Source organism: Homo sapiens, chromosome 8, assembly GCF_000001405.40.
Source record: "Homo sapiens chromosome 8, GRCh38.p14 Primary Assembly".
Taxonomy (NCBI): Eukaryota; Metazoa; Chordata; class Mammalia; order Primates; family Hominidae; genus Homo; species Homo sapiens.
Genome location: NC_000008.11, coordinates 66,198,024 through 66,225,168, shown reverse-complemented (window position 1 = coordinate 66,225,168; position 27,145 = coordinate 66,198,024). Strand labels below are relative to the sequence as shown.

Below are 27,145 nucleotides of genomic sequence, written 5' to 3'. Positions count from 1 at the left end.
CAAGCACACTCTAAGGCGTTTGCGGGGAGATGGAGGAACAGAACTGGGCTTGGAATTGAATTCCAGTTGTGTGACATTGAGCAAATCACTTAGTCACTCTGAATCTCAGGCTCCCCTTTTATGAAACAGAAAAAAAAATTCTCCCTCCCTGAGTGAGATAATATTTGATAATACATGGCCAAGTGTGGCAAAGAGTGCTGATTCTATTACTTTTGAAAGCAGCATTATAAAACTAGAGCAGTCTAACCACAAAATTGGCTATCTCGGGAAGCAGTGAGGTCCCTGTCACTGGAGGCATGCAAGTCTAGGACAATTAACCCCTTAGGAATTGAGGGTGAGAATCTTGCACAGGTTTTACTGCTAAATAGGAGGTCAATGTACAATGAACATGATTTATTGGGTCCCTTCCAATTTTAAGAGTCTCTGCAGACTGGCATCACCATTCTCTTTCCCTGGCTATTAAAAATGCAGGTGGAAAAATTGCTTCATTCAACTGTAAGGCTATTCACCTCTCTGCCCAAGATAGGAAGGCAGAAATGACTTTATTTTGAGCATTTCATTCCCAACTCCCTAATTGAACCACCTTCCTTTGAATTCTAAAATGGTATCATTTCCATTTTATAAGGTTATCAAGGGCATGTATTTCTTCAAAAATGGCACCATACAGAGTAGCTTCCTATGTGATCTGATTTGAGGAGGGCCAAGGGAGATTCAATTGCACCAAATTATTTTTTTCCCATTGGTCCTGCTATACATCTTAAAATCCCTCTATTCTCTATTGTTGTAATTTTTTTATATATAGCTATCAAAATGTGAATGTTATCTAGGTTTTATCTATCTTTAACATCATAGCCAGACTTAGTCTGGGCATTAGTGTATTATTGAGGTGCTCATGAAAATGCACTGCTGAGTTCTGCTGTAGGGAGCATCACTGGCTGATGCCCCCAGCAGTTAACACTCTGGATTGTCCACTGTGTTTGCCCCTATGCCACATTTCCTGTGGACTGCTCCCAGCTAGTGACTGACCATGGTGGTGGTATTACTACTGGTCCATTCCTGAGAGATGCAAGACTCCTCCGACACACGACTCTGATTCAAGGGCTCCGCATCAGCTGGCTGAGCTTTTCTAGGAACTGTGCTGCAGTCCCAGACTCTTCCTATCCAGTCCCCTCCCTCCCGGTCTCCTTCGCAGGAATTCAACCTGCATTGTGGCCTGAAGGCTCTGCCTGCCTCTTCCTGCTCCCTCCCCTTTATCCTTCACAGGCACTTCCTCCAACAAGCCTCTTGCATACTTAACCCCCGGAGGGCCCAAACTAACACAAGTGATGTCAGGAGTTGGGTGAAAAGACAGGTGGTAAAACGAGGTTGTGAGATGGGCTTACTCACAGCCTGGAAGGCAAAGGGGGCACCATCCTGTGTGATAGATAGAAAATGAGTGATCTCTGGCACAGAGTGAAGGCCCAAATACTAAACTTTTTACCCATGGTAACCTGGAAAACTCCCCAGTGATGAGAGCCACCTTGCAGGAGTAATGATTCAGGAGTTTGAAAATTGTAGGGGCAGGGGGAGATGTCTGCAAGATCAGTGGGGTTGGCTGGTTACTACTCATTTGCCTGATGCCCTGCAGAGGATGAGATGGGAGCCTTTCTAGTGAGAAGCTGAGGCCTTGACAAGCAGTTAAAGGCTAAATGTGAGAGCCAGAGGTTCTCTTTGGCAGTGAACAAAGAGACCCCCATCTCCTGCAGTTGACACTGGACACAGCTGAGCAGCGTCTATCAGTTAGACAGTTACTTAGAATTGCAGAGCAGGTCCATTATGCTAAGGTCAGGGCCCTGGATGAGAAAACCTGGGGCCCTGGAATATGGAAGGGAGACATCTAAGTGGAGGTCTCTGAAGACTGCCCCAAATCCTCTGAGTTTGCCAAGGCAACCTACCCTTTCTTAGAACAAGCTAGTGCTTCCCCTCTGTGGGAGAGGCTGCAGAGACCTCTCCTCCACAGGTCAACAGGAGCTGCTCCCATGTCCTCACCTGGCTGCCAGGTGAACATCAGGTTAAATCCCAGCATTATCTGGCTGAGAACTTGCTGGGCTTGAGAAGGAGGAAAGAGATTATACACTGAAGAGGCTTCAGGACTTGCTAGAATATAGCTGCTATCAGAGGAGTACTCCTGGAAATAGATTTTGAGGGTGCTGGATCAAAGGGGCTGGAGTGTATGATTAACAAAACTCATTTTCTTGGGCACCTTTGTTGAGACATGGGATTGAATACTAGTGACCACCCTGGGGGATGAGGCAAATTCATTGCTAGAGTGGCTCATAGAAACCTGGAAAGAGTGATGGCCCTTGCTGAGCAAAGTGAAAATACAAGAGTTTCCTCGGCAGACAGTAGAGGAAGGCATAAAAAAGCGCAGGCAAGTAGGTATGCTAGAGTGGGTGTGTTATGCAAGACCAGGAGACCGATCAGAGGATTATATTCCCAGAGAGGGCCCAGATGACACGGTGGTCACCATGTCTGTTGGGAAATCTGAGTCTACAGGGCTTGTTGATGGTGCTCTTCTGAGGTAGGGGATGATAATATAAATCACAGAAGTAGATTTTTGGGCAGTGGCCAATGGCTTGGACATCTGGTAAGGGGAGAACTGGGAGACTGGAGACAAGGAGGTCTGGGCTACAGGCATGGGAATGGATGTACTGATGTGGGAACACATTTGTATCACATAGTAGCATGCACCAGAAAGCATTTACCTGGTTACTTGGTTACTTGAATAACCAAGTAGACAAAGTGGCTCAGCCAGATGAGGTTAGCAGCCTTTGCCATCAGCCACCATAACTGGCAGAAAGGGCACATGCACGGAGGGAAGGAGATGGAAGTTGAGTTTGGGCCCAGAAGCAGGGAGTCCCAATTAGCATGGGAGTTACTGCTGCCTGAGTGTGCAACCTGTCAGCCACAGACAATACACTGAACCCCTGTTATGGTAATATTCCTTGAGGGGACAGATAGCCTCTTGTGGCAAGCCAACTACATTGAGCCCCTCCTATCCCGAAGGGTTGGCAACTTATTATCACAGGAATAGACACCTGTTCTGGACATGGTTTGCCTCTCCATGTCAGCCCCTCAGCTAGCACGATCACTGGACTTACAGAATATCCTATTCACAGGTATGGGCTCACACACAATATAACACCTGACCAGGGAACTAGCTGTGGGTACAGGAGTGGTCCCATGACCATGTATCACACATCCAATCCAGAAGCAGCCAGCCTTGTGGAGGACTGGAATGGCCTCCTAAAGGCATAGCTCAAAAGCCAGCTTGGAGGCAGCATTCGGAGAGTGGGAGCCATCCTCCAGGCTGTAGCCATGCATACGTTAAATCAGAGGCCTATATATGCCACTGTGTTCCTTATGGAAGAATGCATGGGTCTGGAACCAAGAGGTGAAAGCAGGAGTGACTCTACTTATCACTCCTAAAGGTACACAGGGATTTTATGATTCCTTTTCTCACAATTGGGAGTTCCCAGTGGGGGGTGTTCTCTTGCAAGAGGGCACAACAAGGGTCCCATTGCACTATAAGCTAAGATTGCCACAAAGGCACTTTGGACTCCTTGTGTTGAAGGACCAGCTGGTGGGAAGAGGGCTCACCATCCTGCTGGGCGTCACTGCCCCTGTCAGCAGGAGGAGGTAGGGTGCTTCTATACAATGGGGACAGGGAAGAATTTGCATAACCCAGAACCCAGGGCATCCACTTGGATACCTACTAATACTCCTGTGCCCCATTTCGACTGTGAATGGACACATGTCACAGCCCTGTCCTCTGAGCCCTGCCTAGGTGATAGCTGAGGATGAGGGACTTTTGAACGGACAGTGGAGGAGGCAGAGGATGAGAACCAGATGTGGTCCCAGGACTAACAAGAAGCACTGTAGTTCGTATTCCTAACCTCTCTCATCTAAATCTCTCCTCAGGAAGAGTGACCTATGGGATCCATGGAGGAGCTGCTTCCTGAATCTGTGTAAAGTAGATCTTGCCGTGTGGGTAACTGTGACTGCGGTGGCCATGAAGAGGCACAACTCAGACCTCGGATCTCCTGCTGCAGAGAACATTGACTGACAGCCCAGCAGCTCCTGTCTGGATCTACCACCTGTTCACAGTGAGGCCAACATCCCCCAGGCTGCTCCCAGCCCAGGGCTGAGCATGGCATGGTCCTAATGCTCTTAAAGACCTCTAGATCTCTCTAGAGATGTAGGACTCTTCCAACAGGCAACTTTGGCTCAGGGCTCCCCATCAGCTGGCCTAACCTTTCTAGGAACTGTGCTGTGGCTAACGGTCTCCCAGCCCATCCCTGCCCTTTTCTCTCTCCTTCACAGGGGCCAGACCTGCATTTCCACCTGCAGGATCTCCTTGCCTGCTCCTGCTCCCTCCCCTTTCCTTAACATGGGCTCCCCAGTAAATCATTTACATGTTTAATCCTGACTCTGCATCTGCTTCTCCAAGGACCCAAACTAACTCATGTACAGTAGAAAATGATTGACTTTTGACTTGGTCCTGGATTCATATCTTGTCTCTGTCGCTTATTAACAACATAAACTTCCATCACTCAACCCCTCCTTATTTTCCTCATCAATTAAAATATTTCTTACTCCTAAAGTTATGGTGAATATTGGAAGAGTTAATTTTTGAAGAGCACCTGTGATGTGCCTCCTAGAACAGGGACAGTTTGTTCCTTTCTCATCATTATCCTTTAGCAGTGATGGAATGGGACTCTATGCTGGTGAGTTTTGATAAGAGATTGCAAGGAAGTGAGAGAGGAAGAATATCAGCTGCAGCACATGACAAGTCTGCCTCCTGGGTCAGGTTCCCCTGACAGCGTTGGTGCCTGGGGCATAAAGATGCTGGGTGCCAGGGAAGGGAAGGATGGGGCACTGGAGGGAGACCAAATTCAATCATTTTAAGTCCAGTCCCCAGTTCTGTGCAATTCTTAGTGTAAAGTTTTTAAAAAGAACATTAAAGACAGTTACAAAGCCGAGAAATGGTCCTGTCTCTCTGAGCAGCGCTGGCCATGCTTAACCCACCACCCCCGTCACCCGCACCCACCCCTGTCTCAGGGCCCTTCAGTGTCACACACAAAGGGGCCTCACCTCTGATTCACATTCTGAGGAGAGCAAGTTCATGGATCAAAGAACATGACTAATGGCCGTGGAACTTTCTGAAGAGCCCGGAACATTTAATTATTATGAACAATTTAGTTCACTTCAAGTGGTTTACCTAAGCTCCACATACTTCAGCATTTGCTTAGCAACATGAAATAAAGCTTTCTCTGGGGTTCCCAACGTTTGGACTGGGCCCTCTCCCAGCACCAGCTGGCCTGTCTGCAGAAGGTTCACTCTGTGTGAATTTCCTGACTGGAGTGTGAATTTCCTCACAAGGGACAAGGGGAGGGAAGGAAAGAAGTGGACAGAACTTTAGTTGTTCTCTGTGACAACGGACTTAAAAAAGTCGAAAGGGGGCTTTGAGTCCCTGCTCTCACTAGGCTGATGTGAGCATTAAACTAAACGTGAGAACACATTTAAAGCACAGAGAAACTGCCTGGCATTTCAGTGCTTAATAAATGCTTATGGTTATTGTTTTTAAAAAGCAATATCCTCTTTTCCCTATTGCCCTTCCTCCTCCCTATAACACTCCCTTCTTCCCACCTACCTCATCTTACCTGACCCCTTTGCTTCCTTCTTGAAGTCTTTCTGACTCGATGGAGACTACATCAACAGTTCTTCGCTTAGCGCTGTTAGAACTTGGCATTTCCAGCCTCACGGGGCCCACACACATTTTGTCTTGTATTGTGCTCCAAGCACACATCTTATCTTGCTCGAGGAGAAAGGGAAACCAGGAAAGTAATGATTGGCACATGGGATGAGGAGCTGGAATGACTGGGGTTCCACCATTTACCAGCTATGCAACTAAGCAAGTGACTTATTCTTTCTCAGCCTCAGTTTCTTATCCGTAAGATGGGAAACTACAATTAACCTCATATATTTGTTGTGAAAATCTGGAGATGACTATACAAAGCACCTGGTACATAACATGGATGTATTTTATTATTGATTTATTATTTAATTTCTCTTTGTATCTGCCAGAGAATATTGCAGAAAGGATACATTATTCACCTCATAAATGTTTGGGATAAAAGTGAATTGTGGTTTTGCACCCATTTTTAAGATAAAGATTGCTATGAAACTGGTGTTTCCCATACATTCCTGAGCATAAGAATCTCCTGGAAAATTTGCTTTGGTGGGTCTGGAGTAGGATATTTTAACAGGCACCTTAGGGCATTCTGACATCTGACATTGGGAAAACTGCTGTAAACTCAAATGATGCTTACACCCCTCAATGATTATGTGAGAGTGTCTGTTTTGTGAAAAGGATGGACTTATACAGGTCTCTTAATAACGGACACACTGCTGCCCAATTGATTTGGGCAAAGCAATCACCGTAAAGTGTGAGCATGGTGGAGAAGCCACATCGCCATTTAGGTACAGCTGGGTCAGCCATGAGCAGCTCTAGTCGGCACTGCATCGCTAAGTGGACTCCGGGTGCCTTTTCTTAATTGAATGAAATCTCAGATTTCAATTTATTTCCAGGCTGCATAATGTGATAATTAGAAGCTTAGTTACATCTAATGCCCTGAATGGAGGTCCTAGGATTGTCTCACAACAGTCAAGAGGTCTGGATGGATAATTGCCACCACTTCACAGTAAGAATTGCCAACCTCAGAGCTCTAAGGAGAGAATGCCCATGGAACTGAGGGCTTTGAAAATCCACTCAAGTGTTGCCCCAATGTTAGCATTGTTATCAATGAAGAGATTTTGTCTTTTATGGTGCTGGATTGTCAGGAAGGGGTTTCTTTTATATGGCACGGATTTCCTTTTCATTCATCAGTCCACAGTGAGGTGGTTTTAATGAGGCACAAGCTGGGCTGAGATCAAGATGAAAGCAGAAAGATCAAGGGCCAACGAGGAAGAAAAAAGAATACTCAGCCCAGGAGCAGCTTCCATTCTTCAAGGACAATCTTGAAGAAGATTTCCTAGGGGAAGCATTTGCAGTTTTAATAACAGACTTGAAATTGAAGCTCAATCTATTTCTGGGCAATAAAGGAAGTATCTTTAGTGTTATCTGATTTATCTTAGAATTAGATAGATTCAAAATGAATAGACAGCAATCCCTGGAACATTTCACAGGGTGTAACTCAAGCCAAGTAATTCCAGAAAAGCAAGTAGTACTCTATATGCTCAAGCCTCAAAATCAAGTTCAGAAATCCAACAGGCTCGTTTTTGAACTCTTGAATAGAAACTGGAAAGCAAGGATACTGTATTTGGGTTACACATACTACTTTATAGCATACACTATTTGACATCACTCCTTATTAAAAATATTCCTTCATCTCTAAAGCTTAAAGTGAATGGTGTTATCTCCAATAGACACTGGAAAAAAAGTTGGAGAACAAAACCCCCAAATCTGCTCACTATCTTACTTTATAGAAAATGTTTTGAAATATTGATACCTCTCTTTAGATGGTTATACATAAGAGATTTGGTTGTTACTGAAGCATTTCATTTATGCTGAGACAAGTAATACAAATATGTATGAAGGTGACTTGCAAGTTGAGACATTATGTCATGGGGGCTCAAGTAGGGACCAAGTGCCATGAGGTGTCATATTTCCAGACTGGTCTGAGGTCAAGATGCTAAGTGAGTTCATCTAGCTGACTGCCCAGGCCTCCACATCTCATGGTGGTATTCGTGAAGTAAAAGAAAACTGATTTTTCTGTGTTTAAAAAAAAAACACACAAAAGATTTGAAAGGAAAGGTGACCAAGTATTGTTGACAGAAGTAAACAGAAAGTTGAGATCAAAGACAGTTTTAGTTCTTAACTAGAAAACCAAAGTCTGGGGTAAATGAAACAATAGAATGTAAAATTCAGCAGTGACCTGGTCCTATGAATACAAGCAATTCACCATATACTCTCCAAAGAAAGAAATAAAGAAAAAACACTTTGTAAAACAGTTTCAGCTGGTGTCTCAGCTAGTATGAAAATTGCTCATCAAATGAGAGATAAAATTTTAGTGGAAATTGAAAAGAAAATTTGTGTTATAATGAAATACACAAGAAGCCTATGCCTGCACAGAAAACTGATTCGGGTGAAACCCAGAGATTTCCATAACTGAGATCGTGAATATTTGTGAAAAACTAGATACTTGTCTTTCAAATGGATTAAGTATAGGAAGAAACTCACATCTCTCTCTCAATCATCTGTATATCTACCTATCACATATGTATATATGTTTCTTTCATCTATCCATCCATCCAGTCATTCTTTTTTGGAAAAATAAGGGAGATATGGCTGGGCTCGGTGGCTCAAGCCTGTAATCCCAGTACTTAGGGAGGCTGTGGCGGGCGGCTCATGAAGTCAGGAGATCGAGATCATCCTGGCTAACACAGTGAAACCCCATCTCTACTAAAAATACAAAAAAATTAGCCGGACGTGGTGGCGGGCACCTGTAGTCCCAGCTACTCGGGAGGCTGAGGCAGGAGAATGGCGTGAACCTGGGAGGCAGAGCTTGCAGTGAGCCGAGATAACACCACTGCACTCCAGCCTGGGCGACAGAGCAAGACTCTGTCTCAAAAAAAAAAAAAAAAAAAAAAGAGAGATATGTGTATGACATTGTGCTAGGAGGAAGGATATAGACTTTAGGGAATACAGACATGTAATGGAGGAGGACTAAGACACATCACCGTGAAAGAACACTTTTTTTTTTTTTTTTTTTTTTGAGACAGGGCCTTGCTCTGTCACCCAGGCTGGTGTGCAGTGGCGTGATCACTGCTCACTGCAGCCTTGACCTCCCGGGCTCAGGTGATCCTCCCACCTCAGCCTCCTGAGTAGCTGGGACTATAGGCCCATGCCACCATCCCCAGTTAATTTTAAATTGTTTTGTAAAGATGGGGTCACACTATGTTGCCCAGGCTGGTCTCAAACTCCTGGGCTCAAACAATCCTCATGCCTCAGCCTCCCAAAGTGCTGGGATTACAGGTGTGAACCACCATGCCAGTAAGAAAACTGATTATGAAATAAGGGCAGGCCTGGTACAAAAGTGGAAGGAAGGGAACCCTTATGGTTTAGCTCTTCTTACCCACTTTCCTCTCACTCTACTTTTTGGCATTATGCAATTTGACAGCTAGGCAAATCCGCTCAACCTTATCCATTGCTTGATTTTTTTCTTCCAAAATGTTTTTCAAATAATCCTTGATTAATTGGCCCTACAGATGATACACCACAGGGCAGCTTGTCAACAGGTATAGAGAATGTATGCAGGAATGAAAGGAGTAGTTTGTAACTTGGTCTTCTGTGCCTTCCTATGAGTTTCTGGTGACTTGAGATGAAGTATTAAGGGCTCTTTCTTGTTGCTGAGTTTGCTGTCTGCATAGATGGGAGCTGATGGTTAAAGTGACTTTAGAAGGAGGATTGAGAAACAGGGACTAGCTTTCTGTCTTTTAGGATCTCAATATAAACTCATCTTATTCCACTCTTTGGCTCCTTTTCTTACAGGAATAAAACTAATAGCAAAAACATTATGGCATAGTTATTAAAGGGCCTTTCCTGTATTAACTCATTTATTGGTTACAACTACCCTAAGAAGTGGATGCCATTATTACCCCCACTTTACAGATGAAGAAAAGGGGCCCAGAGAGATTAAGCAGTCACTCAAAATCACACAGTTAGTAAACTGCAGAGTCTGAATTTCAGACCACAAGATCTGGCCCAGAGTTTGCCCCAATCACGAAGTACACTGCTTCTGGCGCCAAAGGTAACTAGATGAGGGAAATGTCCCTCATCTGCATGTGAGAAGAGAGCAAAGACAGTCTTCCTGCCAGTGGACCATCTATTGACTTTCCATCCTTCCATTTTATCTGATTGACTTTTATGTTGAAAGGGCAAATATCATTGAGAGCTTTAGCGCACATCACAGGGGGAACTAGGAGAATTTGGAACTCTTTCCACCTGTGCTGTGGTTGTCTCCCTACCTCTATGTCCATTGGCTGCAATAAAGATAATGGAGGTTAAAAAAAGATCCTCAAAGGAAGATACTGTATGTTCTACTGGAAATATGTTTCCCTTATTCTGAAATCAGTAGGTAATGGATTGCTGCCTGGTGAACAGAAGCTAGAAAGCTGTTTGGCTTTTAGGGGTTCCAGTCTCCTCAGTTCCTATAGATGAGGAGCAGGCACTGGAGGTGATGGAGGGTGTGAGGAAACCATGGACTGGGGCCAGGTCACTTCTTCCCTAACTGAACGTCCTGAAGTGCTTTTCACGGTCTCTTTTTAAAACAGTAATAAAATATTTCAGAAATAAAAATCAAAGTCCTTATCTTAGCTCACAAAATCATTTTCTGACAGTGGTCAAAAAGAAAAAAAAAAAGGTGAGCCAGCTTCCTGTAACCTTGACCTTTTCTCTTTTCTGTGAAACATTTTTTGAAACTATTTTAAGTTGTCGAAGGAACATTCCACTTGAAGAAATGGTGAACGCAGTCGTGATGGGCTGGAGGGACAAAAGTCCAGGGGAGTGAGCTAAGGTCAGGGGCTTCATTGACCTATATCTGCCAATTTTGCAAAAGAGGGCAACACCTTAGAGTGGCTGGATGACAGCCAGGGCCACCATGACAGGCATGCCTCAAGTCTGGAAAGTGTTTTCCCATCAGTGCCGGTAACCATTCCGGGGAAGACAGCTCAGGCTGTCCTGAGCACTGGGAGAGCCAGAGAATGCCCTTTCCTACTGGAGGTATTATCTCTGCTGTTTCCTCCTTTTCCTTTTCTTTGAGACCCCAAAAGATGTATTTTGATTGAGGGAAAAATGCAGTCCAAAAGTGAGCTCATCTAGATGTGCTTGTGAGTGTTTTTGTCCCAGCTGGGCTGGGTCCGATCTAATCGGACACCTTGGGCCCGGAGAGTCTATAGTGCACTGCTGAGATTCACAGAACCGGGCTGCTGCTGAATTTCTCATTCCACTGCTTGACTTGTCCCAAACTTTCTGTTCATAGTTAAGAACTATAACTGTCTTTGATCTCAACTTTCTCTTTGCTTCTATCAGCAAGGGAACCCCACTGCTCCCTTTTTCTTGTTTGCATTATTTTCTCTCATTTTCCTAATTACAACAGTTTCTTTTGAAATAATTTAGCCTTGGCCTAAACTAAAAAGAAAAGATATCTGTGAGTTTACATACATGTCTGAATCCCCCATTAGATTGTGCCTTCCATAAGAGCATGGTTCAGTGACACAGCAGAGCTCAAGAAATGTCCATTAAGTGGATAAACACTCAGGCCACTGTCCTCCTCTGGAAACTAGCCCCATCACATCAGTTCTTTCCAATGAGTGTGGTAAGCTTCTTGATTCTTGGTGCCATCTCCCTACGTGTGAAGCCTATATATTACCATGTACTAACTCTGTGACTCTGGGCAGGTTTTTTAAACCTTTTAGTGCCTCAGTGTCCTCACTTATAAGAATGACCTTCATAATAGGACTTACTTTGTTGAGCTGTTGGGAAGACAAAATGAGATAATCCATGTGAAATCCTTAGAGCAGGGGTGTCCAATCTTTTGGCTTCCCTGGGCCACATTGGAAGTAGAAGAATTGTCTTGAGCCACACATAAAATACACAAACACTAACGATAGCTGATGAACTAACAAAAAACACAATCTCATAATGTTTTAGGAAAGTTTATGAATTTATGTTGCACCACATTCAAAGCTGTCCTGGGCCACATGCAGCCCGTGGGCTGTGGTTTGGACAAGCTTGCCTTAGAGGATTACCTGGCTTTTAGTAAATTGTCAATACACATTGCGTCTTATTCCTGGTTCAATGCTCATGCTTCTTGCGGGATGATCAACTGAGCTATTCTTCTTTGTCAAAGGACCCTGGGGCTCAGCACACTTTCACAGCAGAGATGACTAGTCTGCCCCTTGTGTAGTGTAGACCGAGGCACCTGGGTCTGAAACTGTGATGTCTTCTTCTCCACTTACTATCAGGGCAAGTCAAACCACCTTAAACTTAGAAGCATAAAATAACCATCACTGTATCATGCTCACTCATTCTGTGGGGGCAGTAATTGAGACAGGGCCAAGTGGGGATGGCTTGTGTGTTCGCCAGTGCTGGGTCCTCATCTGGGAAGACTTGGTCAGCTGGGGCTGGCATTACTCTCACATTTGGCATCTGGACTGGGGTATTCGTTTTCCAGGGCTGCTATAACAACATGCTATAAACTGAATGGCTTGGAACAACAGAAAAGTGTTCTCTCACAATTCAAAATCAACACATCGGCAGTTCCATACCCCACCAAAGCCTCTATGGGAGGATCCTTCCTTGCCTTTTCCAGCTTCTGGTAACCACGGGTGTCCCTTGGCTTGAGGCAGCATCATTCAGTCTCTGCCCCTATTTTCACATGGCTGTCTTCTCCATGTGTCTGTGTCTTACACTTAATGTGTCTCTTATGTGAGGACACATTAAGGGCCCACCCAATTGCAATGTGACCTCATCTTAAGTAATTATATCTGCAATGACTTTATTTCCAAATTAGGTGCATTCTGAGGGACTGGAGGTTAGACTTCACCATATCAACTTTGGGGACACAATTCAACCCATAATAGCTGGGATGACTCAAAGGCCAGTCTCAGCTGGGACTGTTGACTAAAGCCTACACCTGGCCTCTCCATGTGGCCTCTCCACGTGACTTGGGCATCTCACAGCATGGTGACTGGATTCCGAGAGGGAGCTGCATGGCCCTCTCAGACCCAGGCTTGAAGCTACACAGTGCCTTGTCTGTGCTTCTCAATTGGTCAAGCTGTCATGCACCACCCAGACTCCACCTCTTGGTGGAAGGAGTGGTAAAGAATTTGGGAGCCATGTTTTACCCCACTCCTCACCTCCAGCTTTTTCCCTCACACAGCCTGGGAACAGCTTTTTCTTTTTTTGTTTTTCAAATAGCTCATTTTGATTTCCATATTAAAATACAGAATACAGGATCTCTTCTGAGAAAATAGAAAGGTTATTCTCTTCCTCATTCCCATAAAACATTTTTCAGGGTCATTTTGAAAACGGGATACTAGGCTGAACTAGTGTATCTTTATATTTTAATTTTCAAATCACCAGAGAATTTTTAGGAGGACAACATTAGACTTGGAAAAAGTATTTTTGAAAAAAAGAGAAAGAATTTTATATGAGCTAAAAATAGACAACATGACTGAGGTGATTACAAGTTGTTGTTGGGAGGCTGGAAGAGGCTATCAGGTGAGAATGCGGTGGTCCCACAGCTATGAAAATCAGAGCTGCCATGTAATCTTAGTCATTGCTGCTTGATTTTGGAGAACAAACTGCCAAAATGTTGTGGAGAGATGATGTGAGTATCAAATCATCTTATTTTCCTATTTTTTTTCTAATAGATTCTGAAATACATTCAACGCACACTTTCCTACTGAGATTTCTAAAATGGGACTTGGAAAACAGAAAAATACGTAAGCATCCTCTTTCAGGCCAGGTAATATGGTTTGGCTGTGTCCCCACCCAAATCTCGTCTCGAATTATAGTTCCCATAATCCCCACGTGTCATGGGAGGGAGCCGGTGGGAGGTAATTTAATCATGGGGGTGGTTACTCTCATGCTGTTCTTGTGATACTGAGTGAGTTCTCACAAGATCTGATGGTTTTAGAAGGGGCTTGTCCCCCTTTTGCTCAGCACCTCTCCTTGCTGCCACTATGTGAAGAAGGACGTGTTTGCTTACCCTTCTGCCATGATTAAGTTTCCTGAGGCCTCCCAAGCCATGCTGAACTATGAGTCAATTAAACCTCTTTCCTTTATAAATTACCCAGTCTCAGGTATATCTTTATTAGCAGCATGAGAATGAACTAATACAACAAGTGTTACTAAAAATTATGACTTGCTACTTATGTGTACCAAAAACATGTATCAAGCCATTGGTAGCAGCATTATTTGAAATAGCCCTCAGCTGGAAGCTAACGAGATGCCATTCAGCTGCAGAATGCATACACTGTGGCATATTCACTGTGGTACATGCCGTGAGGAGACTGATATAAGCTACACACAACAATATGGATGAATCCCACAAACAATGATGAGGGAAATAATACAGACACAAGCGATCACACTCATCATTTCAGCTATATCAGGTACAAACACAGCAAAATTAATCTATGCTGTTTTAAGGCCAGATAATAGTTATTCTTCAGGGGCAGAGTGCCTGGAGGAGATTTGGGGAAGGGGCTTCCCGTGTCTTTCTGTTTCTGGGTGCCAGTTGCCTGAGTGTGTTCATTATGTGAGGCTATGCACTTAAATGCGCACTTTTCCCTATGCATATCTTCTTCAGTAAAAAATTAAAAATAAAGTATTTGCATTAAAATAACCACCAGGCTGTGACAGAAGACAGTATTCAGGTATTCAGAGGACATGCAGTAAGCATTCTTCTTGTTGAGACTTACAGTGTCCGTACCCTCAAATGACCCACTCTCTTGGCCTTCCTGGTTATATGTTTTAATGCAACAAATTATTTTCTTGCTTTCTTTTTTTTCTTTTACAGTAAAGTGGGGTACTATCATCTAAATCTCCAAAAAGGTCATTCAACTCTGATCCCTGTTTAAAGAGAGAAAAAAGGAATAAAGGAGCCTTTGAAGGCAGAATATTGCTCACTCATCTCTTTGAAAGGACCTCAGACTGCAGAGCAGAAGAACCACTGGCTACATCAGCTGGGGCAGAGGGGGATGAAGAGAACATCATGATGCCTGCAAAAAAGTGGGCTCTGCAGGATCTCCAGTCACCTCCCTTCCCTTCAGATCCAGAGCTCTCTCTGGCTAGGACCTTCCAGAGTTCCAGAATTTTTGTTCCACCTTCCATTGCTCACTTCTATTACTATTACTAAGATATTCACATGGAATTCTGTGCAAACCATTTTTTTTTTCTTTTGGTGCCCTCTTTGTTTTACTTCCTCTATTGGGACTAATGGCCATCTGACTTGGGGGTCCTTTGTTTTTTGTGACAAACCACCCTCAGCAGATTTCCTTGAGGTCCATTTGCTCAAGGGCCTTAAAGCTTTTTGGAGTAATACAGAGTAAGTTTCTAGACAGCCTCTTGTGCTCTGCAGTAAGCTAAAGTGGAAGATTAAGATGCCTGGTGTATACTGTGTGTTTCCCATGTAATGGCAGAAAAGGAATGGGGCTCATTAGTTACTTTAAGGTGGCAGCAGCTACCTTAGAGAAGACTGCATTGCTTGTACTGATTCAAAAGAGCACCTAATGAAGGGAAAAAGCAGAAATAAGCCAAGACTTGAGCTGAGTGATTCGTTGAATCAGCCAAGGATAATGTTCTTCAGGCACTATGCACATGTCACTGATCAGTAGCGCTTCTCTTAAGCTTCAACAGCACTCACTTCCCCTGTCTTGATGAGGTGAGCAGCACATTTAATTTCAGCTCCTGGGGCCATCTGCAAACCTCTACTCCATTCCTCAGCTGTGTTTGCTCCTCTGTTCTCAGGGAGCAGCATTTTCACTGGATGCAAACTGTGAGGCACTGTCTGGGCAAGCAGATTGGTTACTAATGAGGAAACTGGCACTGACAGCCTTTTGGGTTCTGATTGAAGAAAAGAGATGTCTTCGCATCAGAATGGTTTAACTTTCAATGTGGCATATCAACTGGTTGAAATTAGGGAGAGAGAGAAAGAGAAATTTAATTGTCAGGCTGTGGTGCGTAGTGTCAAAGCTACCTAGATTATGAGAAATACGTCTTTTCAACAGCTTAAAGGCCACAGCTCTCAACATTTTTTCTGCATGTACAACACAGACAGGATCCAGAAATCCCAGCCTATAACTCTTGGTTCCGTCAAATACTCAACAGAGAAAACAGAAGTATTTGATTGTGGTATTAACTATGAAATGTTCCCTATTAGCCATATGATTCTATTAGCTCAGCTCATTCCTGTTAGATTTATAGAAACATTAGAGATAATTGGAATTAGAAGGGCCAAGAGAGACGATCCAATCCCATATAGAGAAAAGCAAGACCCCTGCTCTCACTGAAGAAGTTTTAAAAATAATTAAACAACAAACAAACAAATTGAGGCCCAGAGAGATGAAGTAATTTGACTGATGTATTCCATCAGTGACAGACCTGGGACTGGAGCTCCATCTCAGCTCTCAGCCCACTAAGAACCCTGTTCATGGTGCCATACTAGCAACCCCCTTCCTGTAGGAGTCTTTGAGAGTCAGAATGACTTCTTGACTGAGAGGTACATGTCTCTAGGATAAGGACAATTGAGGGGATAATGAGGAAAGAAATAATGTAAGTTAACTATATTTTGCCACATGCCCTCCTCTCTCCATGAATCCAGGATGTTGACCCATATCCAGCATCCATTGTGGGACTAAGTCTCGGACACCAAGGACTTCTAAGGAGCCTGCTCCAATCTGAAATGACTGTGGGGGAGCTGGCCATTCCCCGAGCCATTCTTGGAATATTGGGCCACAGGGGCCACTGGGGAGCATGTATAGGTAGGGGCGGCTTTGATATAAGCCTAGGTATTCAATTCTTCATGGGACCCCCAATGCTACCCCAAGTCTGCACCTTGATTCCCAAATACCCAAGAGAGACAAAATGTCCTACTTTCTCTCTGAAGTTCTTCTAATGTTGGAAGACCTAGGGTGGAGGCAAACCTTTCAGAGAATTTCTGCTGGGATTTAAATGTATGTCTAGCTGGCTTTAGACATTAGAAGACTGTAATATGTACCTTAATAAGTTGCCTTTCCCATGGTGTTTGTTATCCTCAGAAGACCCCCATAGTGACTCTAGGAGACAATTCTCATATCTTCTGAACTGTGCATGTTCATAGTTTTTCTGAGCAGGGTTTGCATCTAGCAGCGATGGAGGTATAGGAGGTCACAGGCAACACTGCGTGCCTCACACAACATTGTAGATCAAGACACAGTTAAATGGGCTGGCAATTCTGAGTTTCTGAGTCCAGTCCCATGACTAGTATAGCTGTCAGAACTAGAGGGGCCAACCCTGGGAATCTTGGAGATGCTTTATGAATATATGAGATTTCAGGCATCCAAGCTCTTCTATTTGTTTACATGTATTCTCAATGTCTATCTCCCATTATCAAATCTATTCCAAAAGTATTTTTTCAACACTTGCTGGAGACTCTTGGATAAAGCTAGTAAACGTGCTTTTATTAAGCTCCAACTCTGTGCTGACCACTTATACATATATTGTCTCAGTTGCACTCAAAATGCTATTGTGTGTTAGGGTTCTTTCTTACAGATTTTGAAACAGTGTCTTGGAGAGGTTAGGTGAATTGCTCAAAAGACGCAGCAAGCACAGAGCTGTGACTTGGTCCTGTCTTATCTGCTTTGGGGTTATGGGTAGTTTATCTTTATATGCCTATTTTAACAGTAGACCCTCAACCACTGAAATTGACAGGAAAAAGTATGTGGTTGTTTTACCAAACAAACAAACAGACAAAAAACCAAACCCACCAAACCTGAAATTTTTGGTTTGGTCAACATTTTAATTCAACTGTACTCAATGTATTAACAATGGTGATTTGATATGATGGATGTAATTGATAATCAATGCAGTGCCATTTATAGACTGCCTAAAAGTGCATTGTACATCATTTTGACAACATATTTACCTGCATTGTTTGGGCAAAATGAATTTTAAAATTATTTTTTGTTTCCTAAATTTGTATCAATTGAAAAAAAAAAAGTCATCTGGGTAGCAGACAGAAGTCAGCCTGGGACTACAGTGGGTCATAACCCTGAGGATTCAAATGTGGGCAATGGCAACAACATCAGCGACTAAAGCTGTCAGTGGAGAAAAGAAGAAAGCACACGCCAGCCACCCTGCAGAACAATGCAGTTCTTTCAGAGTCACATAGTCCTAAATCTGGAAACCATCACAGCTGAGAGGATAAGCTTTGGAACCCGATAGTGGTCTAAAACTAGGCTCTGCCTGCCATGGACAAACTACAAGAGACTGGGAAGTGAGTTAAACCTGAGCTAAATCCCAGTTTCCTTCTCTGCAAAACAGGGAGTGGGGACAGTGGAATAACACCTCCCTCATAGAACTGTTGGGAGGCATAAATGACCCTCAGCACAGGGTGGTGTGTATGGAATGTGCATCATAAGTGGCAGCTATTTTGATAATTACTAAACATGATGAATGATGATAAGCGAAATAATAACACAGCTTTTCAACATTTTCACTCAATAAGTTAAATTTATAATAGGCAAGCAAAGGAGTTTCCAGAATTAAGCATCTGATGGGAGCTTAGACAGGTTGACTTTTACAGCTCATTCTAACCCTGAGTGAGGGTCTGTGATTTTATAAGCCCTTTTAGGGTTCGAGTGCTACTTCTAATCAAGATCCTGGTATCATGTTTTTCTCCATTACGTGGAACAATAATGAATAGATAAATAAAATATAACTGGGAAAGGAGAACACAGATTGAACACATGCATTTATCTCCACTCTTGTCCAAAACCTCACAGTAAAATAATTTAAAATACATGAACCTATAAGAACAAGAGAGGGGAGATATGATGAAAGAGAAAACCAAAATTTTGGAAGTTGGAAAAAAATGGAAGGCTGGTTAGCCAATTAGGGACAGTAGAAAGCTGCATATCTGTAAGGCACATGCTGCCAAGAGAGAAAAGCAAGGCAATTTGGATGTGGAACCTCAGACAGGCTTAGAATAGGAAACAGATCCATGAGTCATGACACTGTGGTTGAGATTTCTGCTTTAGCCATTCCAGCGTATGCTTGTTTTTCCCTAAAAGTCTTTACTCATTTGTTTTCTCTCTTCCGCCCAGTGAACATCTACTCATTCTTCAAAACCCAGAACTGTTGTTGTTTCTTGAAAAATGGAGATTATTCCAAAGTTCTTTTAGCCTTTGCAATGTGAAGGCATGTGTCAGGGTTGGGAGGAGTTGGGGAACAGCACCTCTTTCTTTTAACGTCCAATTGATTGAGGCCAATGGGTCATCCTGCCTCCTTCCCTAAATATTCCTGAGAATGCTCAGAGAGGGCCCACATGTTCCCTAAGTCCATTCTGGTTACCCTGTGTGCCTTCTTGCTCTGGTCTGCTGCTCCCAGCTTCTTCACGATCACTTGTGATCATTTGCTAGCCTTTTTTTAGTCCATTTTACTCCAAAGCAAGAATACAGTACTTGCTCCTTACTCTCCAATGCTTACCAATGCAACAACAAGAGGTAATAGTATTTAACAAATTTTGATACGGAGGAAAGGAAAACCTAAAATAAGGTACCATGTATCACTATTCCTGAATTCTGTCATCATGTCCCTTTAAAGGCAGTGCTCTATAGGTTCCGTCTCTCCTGTGGCCCCAGCCTGCTGCCACTGGAACAAGGGTCCAGGGTTCTTAATGCACGGAAGTCTTCATCTTATCCCCCACAAATCTACAGCCAAAAGAAGGAAATACCCATTGATGACACGATAGACAATATAACAGTTGACAAGATAATTGATACAGCGTGCCCAATGTGAAGAGAGAATTTGTCACGGCTAGAGTAGTGAACCTTCTCCAGGTGAACCATCTGCCGTTGGAAGCTTCCTTTTGTCCAGGGCTCCTGCAAGGCCAGTGAGTAGGTACTTCTATCTACACATGACTGAAAAAGACTTACCAAAACCAATATATTCCCAAGGATACTTTCTAAATTCTACCCAAGGAGCAGATGCTGCTCACAATTCTCTAAAACAAGGTCTTTTTTTTTTCAACCCCAGATATATCAAGAATGGGACACAATCTCCGAGGAAGAAATTGTCAGCATCTATCTTGAAAATATCTTTGGTTTCCCATTACATTTCGGATTTCTCTAGACCATATTTGTAGTTCCCTTTTTGGTGTTCCCATTCTTGTAAGTTTATATAAACAGCAATAAGACTATAGCTCTTCTCACAGGATACTTTGTTATTTCTTAATGGGACTGTCTGTCCTGTAGGCTATGAGCTATTTGAGGGCAAAGAATATTCTATTCATCTTTATATTCCTGGCACATGGTAGGCACTCAGTAATGCTGCTGCTGAATTGAATCGGCTGTGGGAAAAAAACAAATGCTTCTCCTCAGTCAGCATTTGTTTTCTAGGATCTATTCCAATATATTTCCAACAAAAATATGAGATTTAAAAGATAGGCAGAGAGTGAATTGAACTGAATATTGCACAAAAACTCCTTGTCTTTAAAGGTGGAAACAAAATCCACCACCTTCCCAAGATAGCTGTTCTGTCTCACATCTTCTTGAAGCAATGAAATGATGAGTACTGTGATCAGAGAGGACCCTCAGAAAATAAATAAAAACCCAGCTCTACAAATGCAGCCGTAAGCCAGGAGGATATGACGAAGGATATCATTATCATCCTGATATTTTTAGAAGTTCTTTGGTGACAGGTCAGATTTTTGAGAATCAGAAAATGATAAAAATAATCTTGTTATTCCACAAAGGAGGCTCTATATATATCAGGCCGATTTTGAACACTGCCTGAGAATGTTGAGAAAATATTTTTAAATGTTAGTGAAATGATAGGCTTTGGGGGCAGACCCAGCCTCGCTTTAGAAAAAGCTTTATCGTGGGGGGATTGAGAGATTTTAGTGATGTGAGCATTGTAAAGAATCAGCAGTGAGTGGGTGTAAGTTTTTGTTTTCCAATTTTCCAGAGGAGGGTCCACCTGGGAAGAATTTCATGAAATTTACAGAAATCTGAAAATTGCTTTTGAAGCTATTACAGGTACCTGGGGAGTCCTCCTTGGCCCCACAGGCTGACTACACTATCCAGATCTTAAGGGACTCTCATCTTTCCTAACTTCTAGGTTGCAGGATTCTGCAGAATTACTTCTGCAGCTTCCATTTGTAGCTATTGCTAAGTGGACCCATAGCTATATGGGATGTGGGGCTCTGGATTTCAGGTAGAAATGACCCTTTGTTTATTTGAGATGTTTGCTTCTTTAAATACTCAGCCATCTGACTCTCTAATTGTTTAGGATTAGTCATAAGTTAAGTAGGACAGGGAAGATGTTATAAATAGTTTATTGCATATCCATTCAAGAAATTTAGGCTAAGTTTATATATTTTACCTTCTGAAAGGAGAAAGCCTGTGTGTTTATTTAAAGCATTGTAGATTTTTTCTCATTTAGAATATATGAGTCTAGTATAAAAATTGATTCTAGATGATTTATATGTAAGTTGCTCTTTTCTTCATACTTATTTTGCTACCTTTTTATTTCATGTTTTTTCTTAAGTATGACTTTGAGCCTTTAAAAGTATTTCCTTTATGTCTCTTTTGAATATCAAAAACAACATGAATTAAAAATAGAAGTCTACATATCAAGGAAACTTTGTATATATATTTCTTTGGAGTTAGGGGGTGATTTCTATCATTACTCTGAGTTTATTTTACTGAACAGTATATTTTTGAGAAAGTGGATCATACTATGACCAATAAGACTTGACTATAAAAGTAAAATAATACCAAAATATAATACTGATAAACATATAGGTGTCTAAAGAAAAATGTTGCATATTTCTACAGCAGGGCAATTAACCATAGGACTTCTAAGAGGCCTATGTCACATAGGGCCCACACATTCCTCCATCTGCCAAGCCTTTAAATTTAGGCACCAGAGATCACCTGCAAAATGCAAGCATGTTATCGGGAGGGGCAATACAATAATACCTACCATCTGGTGTTGTTAGTTATCAAGTCACTGGTCTGTCTCCTAAGCGTAGCTCTGAGATAAGGGGAAAGAAGGAAGAGATCTGAGGAGGCAATGCTGTTCTGGCCCACCTGGGGGAGAACCATGAAGTCCACCTCTGAGCAGCCAGCATCCCAGGAGGGAAAAGGAAGCCAGAGGGACCATGTGGGAGCCAGGGGGACCACACTGACTTCACAAGGTTGCTACGAGGCTGCAATTACCCATGTGGCAGATCCACTTGGAGTAAGTAATATTTTCAGTGGAAATTTATGTAAGCTCTGTCCAGTGTTTCATGGAGTTTCTGCAGGTAAAGGACTGTGTGATAATATTTCCAGTAAACAACTTCTTTAGAAATTCTGCAGCCCAGCAGCACCAAGCATGAGTTTGATGCAGGTAACTTGAGTGGACAGCACATTCTGGGAAGACAGGTATTGGGAGTTCTCTTTGGCAGGTGTGAGTGGCATCTCAAGAGTGTTCCTGGAGTTCCCACTCTGAATGGCTGCCTGTGCTGAAAGCATTCTCACTGCAGCACGAGAGAGAAATGCAGGAGTGTCTCATCACGACTTGAGACTTGCAAAAGACGTCAAGAATGAGAGTGGGTCAAAGATAAGGAACAGTGCTCAGTTGGGGTCTAAATGGTCTCATCCAGTGCCCTTTGGATGCTGCACACTGTGTTGGTGCCAATCACTTAGGATGAGTCTTTCCAGGTCATTATAAGCCTCACAGCCTTGGTGAAGTGTGTTGTCAGATGGCTGATATTCATGACCCCAAGTGGAGAAGGAGGCTGTAGTTTGCTAGCCTGCTCCATCAGATTCCCAAAGGAGTTACCCTATAACCTCAGGGCAGTGCATTTATATCGACATCTTACTGAAGGATTGGCTCTTGGGCAGATAATTGTTCTTACTTTCTCTTTCTGCTCAACAAAAAGCGTAATGTGATGGAAGAGAAAATGACTTAGTGTGGTGAGGCCATGAATTTAATCTCATTCTAACAATTTAAAACTTATGTCATTCAGGACAATTAATTTAGTCCCATTGAATCCCATTTTTGAAGTGCAGATGATCATAATAATTGCTTCAGAGGGCTGTTGAGAAGATAAAATAAGGTCAGGAGTGAAAATTTGACATTTATCAAAATGTTTGTGAGGTTCCTAGTGGCATGAACTGGCTCCTGATCAGACAGTCAGCTTGAATATATACCAGACTTTCTGAAGGGAAAAGTTCCAGGGTTCCTCCTGAGTAGACTCAGGTTTGGGAGCACTTTCTATGAGTTTTAGATATAAAAGAAACCTTAGAAATAATCTTGTATAGCCACCTTTTAAAAAAATTGTATTTAGAATTTAATTTTATGAAAGAAACGTCTGTATATACTTTTAAAATCAAATATTTATAATGAAAAGTAGCAATTTCCTACCCCACTGTGTCTCAAATTCCATTCCCTAGAAGCTAATATCCTGATAAATTCAAGGAATTCAATGTTATATGTTGTCTAGTATGTACTGCTCTAATATATGAGTATTTAGTTTATTACACTCCCCATTTCTCTACCCATCCTCCCAATATAGTCTTATCACTACATTTAGTTTCTCCATGGGATAACTTTGTAACTGTAAAACGTATACAATTTTATTTCTACATTTGTCATTGGGCTGTAATCCTTGATTCCACATTTTGATGAATCCTTGATTTTCACAACTTTGAAAGATGAGTCCATCCAACTTTTCCTTCACCCCTGTGCATTACTTCTCACTTCCCAGTCTTTATCATTTGAATTTTTATCTCTCTGTTGTTAAAAGTTGATGACATTTACATTTTATTTATGAGCACAATTGTGTCTCATGCCTTGTTTATAGGTTGTGTATAAAAGCTTAAAATCAATTAACAGTGTTTAGCTAAGTAAATGTGGTTTACTGTAGAATCAAGTGGAATACATTGATTAGTTTCCTGTTTTGTACAGCATTTTGTTTTTCCAAGAGTTTCTAATTGCCTTTATTTTTCTTCATAGCAATTTTGCCTTATCTTTTACTTATTTCAAAATGTTAAAATTATATTAGCTATTCTTTATTTTATTATTATTATACTTTAAGTTTTAGGGTACATGTGCAGTCTAAGAGCTTGACCTTGAAACTGTTAAGATCAGTAACTCTCCATTCCACAGGGACTCTCTACTCTCCCCCCAGAAACTCTGTTCTTCCCTTCTGATCAACACTGGTTGACATCTAGACTGGGGTTTATATTTTTTATCTTGAGATTTGCCTTTTTTGCTTTTCTAGGTTGAATCTCCTGTTTCCTGGACCCCAAGTCTTCTGTTTTCTTGATTTACTTGCTGGGCTGAGGCACACCCTTAAGTAATTCCCTAACAACAGGGTTGCTCCTAGATGTGTGGGGCCTCAGATAAATATTTTTTTGTGGGACCTTTTTCTAAATAAATAATTTGACTAAGAAAGTATTACAAAATTCATGGACCCACGTGGGGTATAGTGTTTTATTGAAAGTCATTCAGAATAATGGATACAGATGAGGTACTTACATATTCATTACTTAATCAGTGCATGTGAAAATTCTTTCTTCATAATGTCCAGGCACTATCTCTGTGTTCTTGGCTAATTCCATATCTCCAGTCATGAAGAAAAGTAGCAATACTGTCATTACTCACAATGCCAAGTTCTTGGGAACTTGTTTACAATGAACAATATAGATCTGTACTACTTTTGCAATACAATTTATTGAAGTCTGGTTATATTGTTATAGATGATGCTGCACCATGAATACTGGCTTTCAATGACTTTCTCAAAAGTTGTTGCTGTGCTTCATTGTTGATGACCAAAAATGCAAGTCTTATCCAGAGTATGCAAGAAAATGTGAACAATAATTTGTTTTCTGATTATGTTGAATTTACTGTTTATAATCTGAACATAGAGCATGTCTTCCAACTCTATCTTCTCTTAAACTCTATGCTGTAATTACTACATTCCTAGACAGTGATTCTTTTCATGTTAACTGCACTCCTGCCTTCCACTCACTGCCACCAGTGGAGAGGACTAAATGAATGAGAAGAGCAGCCTCATTGGCACAAGGAACATCTCTCATCAGGAATGGCTTCAACTGATCCAGGAGTGCTTGATATCCCCACATCTGTGGAGGCAGGGGAGGACATCAATTGGAAAAGCCCCTTGCTGTTTCAGAGCAAAGATCTTGAAAGCACCAGGTAGAGAAAGATGTAGCCATTGTCAAAAGACTGCCTGTTAGATGAATGGGACAGTGGGATGACCACCCTGGGTTCAGTGGTAAAGTCAAATGGAGTAAAGGATGCCTGTTGCCACCCCAGCTGCACTTGGGTGCTGAAGATCAGAAGTGAAACTACAGAACAAATCCAGATGAGAGCTCACCTAGGGGCTCACACATATAGTTCAGGCCAAGGTTCAGTGATGGACCATCATCAGTACTCAGAGCACTGAACTTGTCCTGGGTGTGATGTATTTGAGAGTCACTTAAAATCATCATATCGCTGCCATTTTGGCCACCCAATCTCATAGGATTCTGTGAAATAAATATGGCACTGGGCAGCAGGAGCAATTCACTTGTCAGGAATCCCTCCTGGAATCAGGGCTTGGCCAAGGACTTCAAGCCAACCACCCAAGGCATGAATCCCAGAACTCCTGGGGGCATCTGGCAACTTCATGTGCAGAATATATCTTCTCTGACCTAGTGTGGCTGATGATGAGAGGTCTGATGCTGGTTGAAGTTCTTGGTTTTCACAGGTATCTTTTACATTTCTATCTTTCCTGCTAAACCTTCTCAGTATCTTCTATTATGGATGTATTGAAGTTTTATAGTGATGGGTCTAGATGTGTGTGTGTATGTCTGCATGTGTATGCACATATGTGAGTTGTCAACTTGAGCACTTGGGTACTTGATTGGCTTCTTAATTTGGATACTCATGTCCTTTGACTCTGGGACAATCCTTTGCGATAATTCTTTGATTTCTTTCTTTTTGTTTTTCTCTTTTTGTCACTCCTATTGATCAGATGTGGGGCCTCTTGGACTGATCCTCAACACATCTTACCTTTCTCATTTTCTTACATCTTCTTGCCTTTGTTCTACAACATTGGTTTTATTATATTTTACCTACTATTAGAATTTCGGGCTCATATATTTATTTTTCAATAGTTTTTCCTTGTTAGCTAGTTGTACTTTGTTGATGCAATATTTTTTTTTACTACTCTTTCTAAGAATATTTATTAAAGAGTTTTTAAAGGTTAAATTGTGTTTCCAAATTATTTCTCTTCTTTCCAACGTTGCATATGCTGCTTGTTAATCTTGGTTTCTCTCTTTTGGGTTGTAGATGTTCCTCAGAGATCTTTGGGTGTTACATCACATTTAAGAGCCAGACAATAAGCTGATCTTGAGCTGTGTGTTGTGTATGTGTGAGGTGGGGGTGGGTGGGTGGGGAACAGTGATTGTAGGTTGGCAGTTCCCTTTAATGTGATGCAGGGGAGTGGGCAATAATTCTGGGGACCCATAATTACCAGATTGGAGGTCTTTTCTCTGTGTTCATCCCATTTCTTTGGAGAAGAACCCTCTCATTACTTGCATAGTGGGTGTATTAGTTTTCTTGGGCTGTTATAATAAAGTATTACAGACTGGATGGCTTAAACAACAGAAATTCATTTTCTCACAGTTCTGGAGGCTGGAAGTCTAAGATCAAGGTGTTGGCAGAGTTGATTTCTTTTGAGGCCTTCCTCCATGGTTTGCGGATGGCTGCCTTCTCTCTGTGTCCTTATACGACTTTTCTCTGTGCATGTGCATCGCTGGTGTCTCTCTGTGTGTCCTAATCTCCTCTTCTTATAAGGACATGAGTCAGATCAGATAAGGGCTTACTCTAAAGGCCTCATTTTAACTTAGTTACTTCTTTAATGGCCCCATCTCTAAATGCAGTCACATTCTGAGGTACTGGGGATTAGGTCTTCAACATATAAATTTTGAGGAGAAAAATTCAGCCCATAACAGTGAGGTAGATGGATATCTGTTAGTCTTCAAATATGGAGAAGGTTTCAGAGTGGGAGATCAACTCTTGGGTGTAGAGTGGAGTTTCTTAACTTTAAGATTTTTGACAATTTTGAGCTGTATGACTCTTTGTCAAGGGGGCTGCCCTGTGCATAGTAGGATGTTTAGCAGCATCTCTGGCTTCTAACCCCCAGGTGTCAGGAGCACCTCCCAGTCATGATACTCAAGATGTCTCCAAACATTGACAAATGTCCCCTGAGGGTGGGGCAAAATCATGCCAGTCCAGAATCAATCTGTGGCTTGCTCCGATGCTTAATTATAACTGGTGTTC

The 27,145-nt window shown here is 42.2% G+C and overlaps 1 long non-coding RNA gene across 7 annotated transcripts in view; it reads left to right on the top strand.

Moving 5' to 3' along the window:
• LOC102724687 (uncharacterized) overlaps nt 1-26,071 on the top strand; it is a 233,269-nt gene extending 207,198 nt beyond the window's left edge. For 4 of the 7 annotated variants that reach the window (XR_929013.3, XR_929012.3, XR_001745952.2 and 1 more), the window contains 3 exons: nt 3,961-4,145; nt 13,477-13,548; nt 14,628-26,071. This is a non-coding gene — a long non-coding RNA (uncharacterized LOC102724687). Of the gene's footprint in view, nt 1-3,960; nt 4,146-13,476; nt 13,572-14,627 lie in introns of all 7 variants that reach the window. The other 3 variants (XR_007060949.1, XR_428359.4, XR_007060950.1) reach the window with 1 other exon arrangement.
• Nucleotides 26,072-27,145: the final 1,074 nt, after the last annotated feature.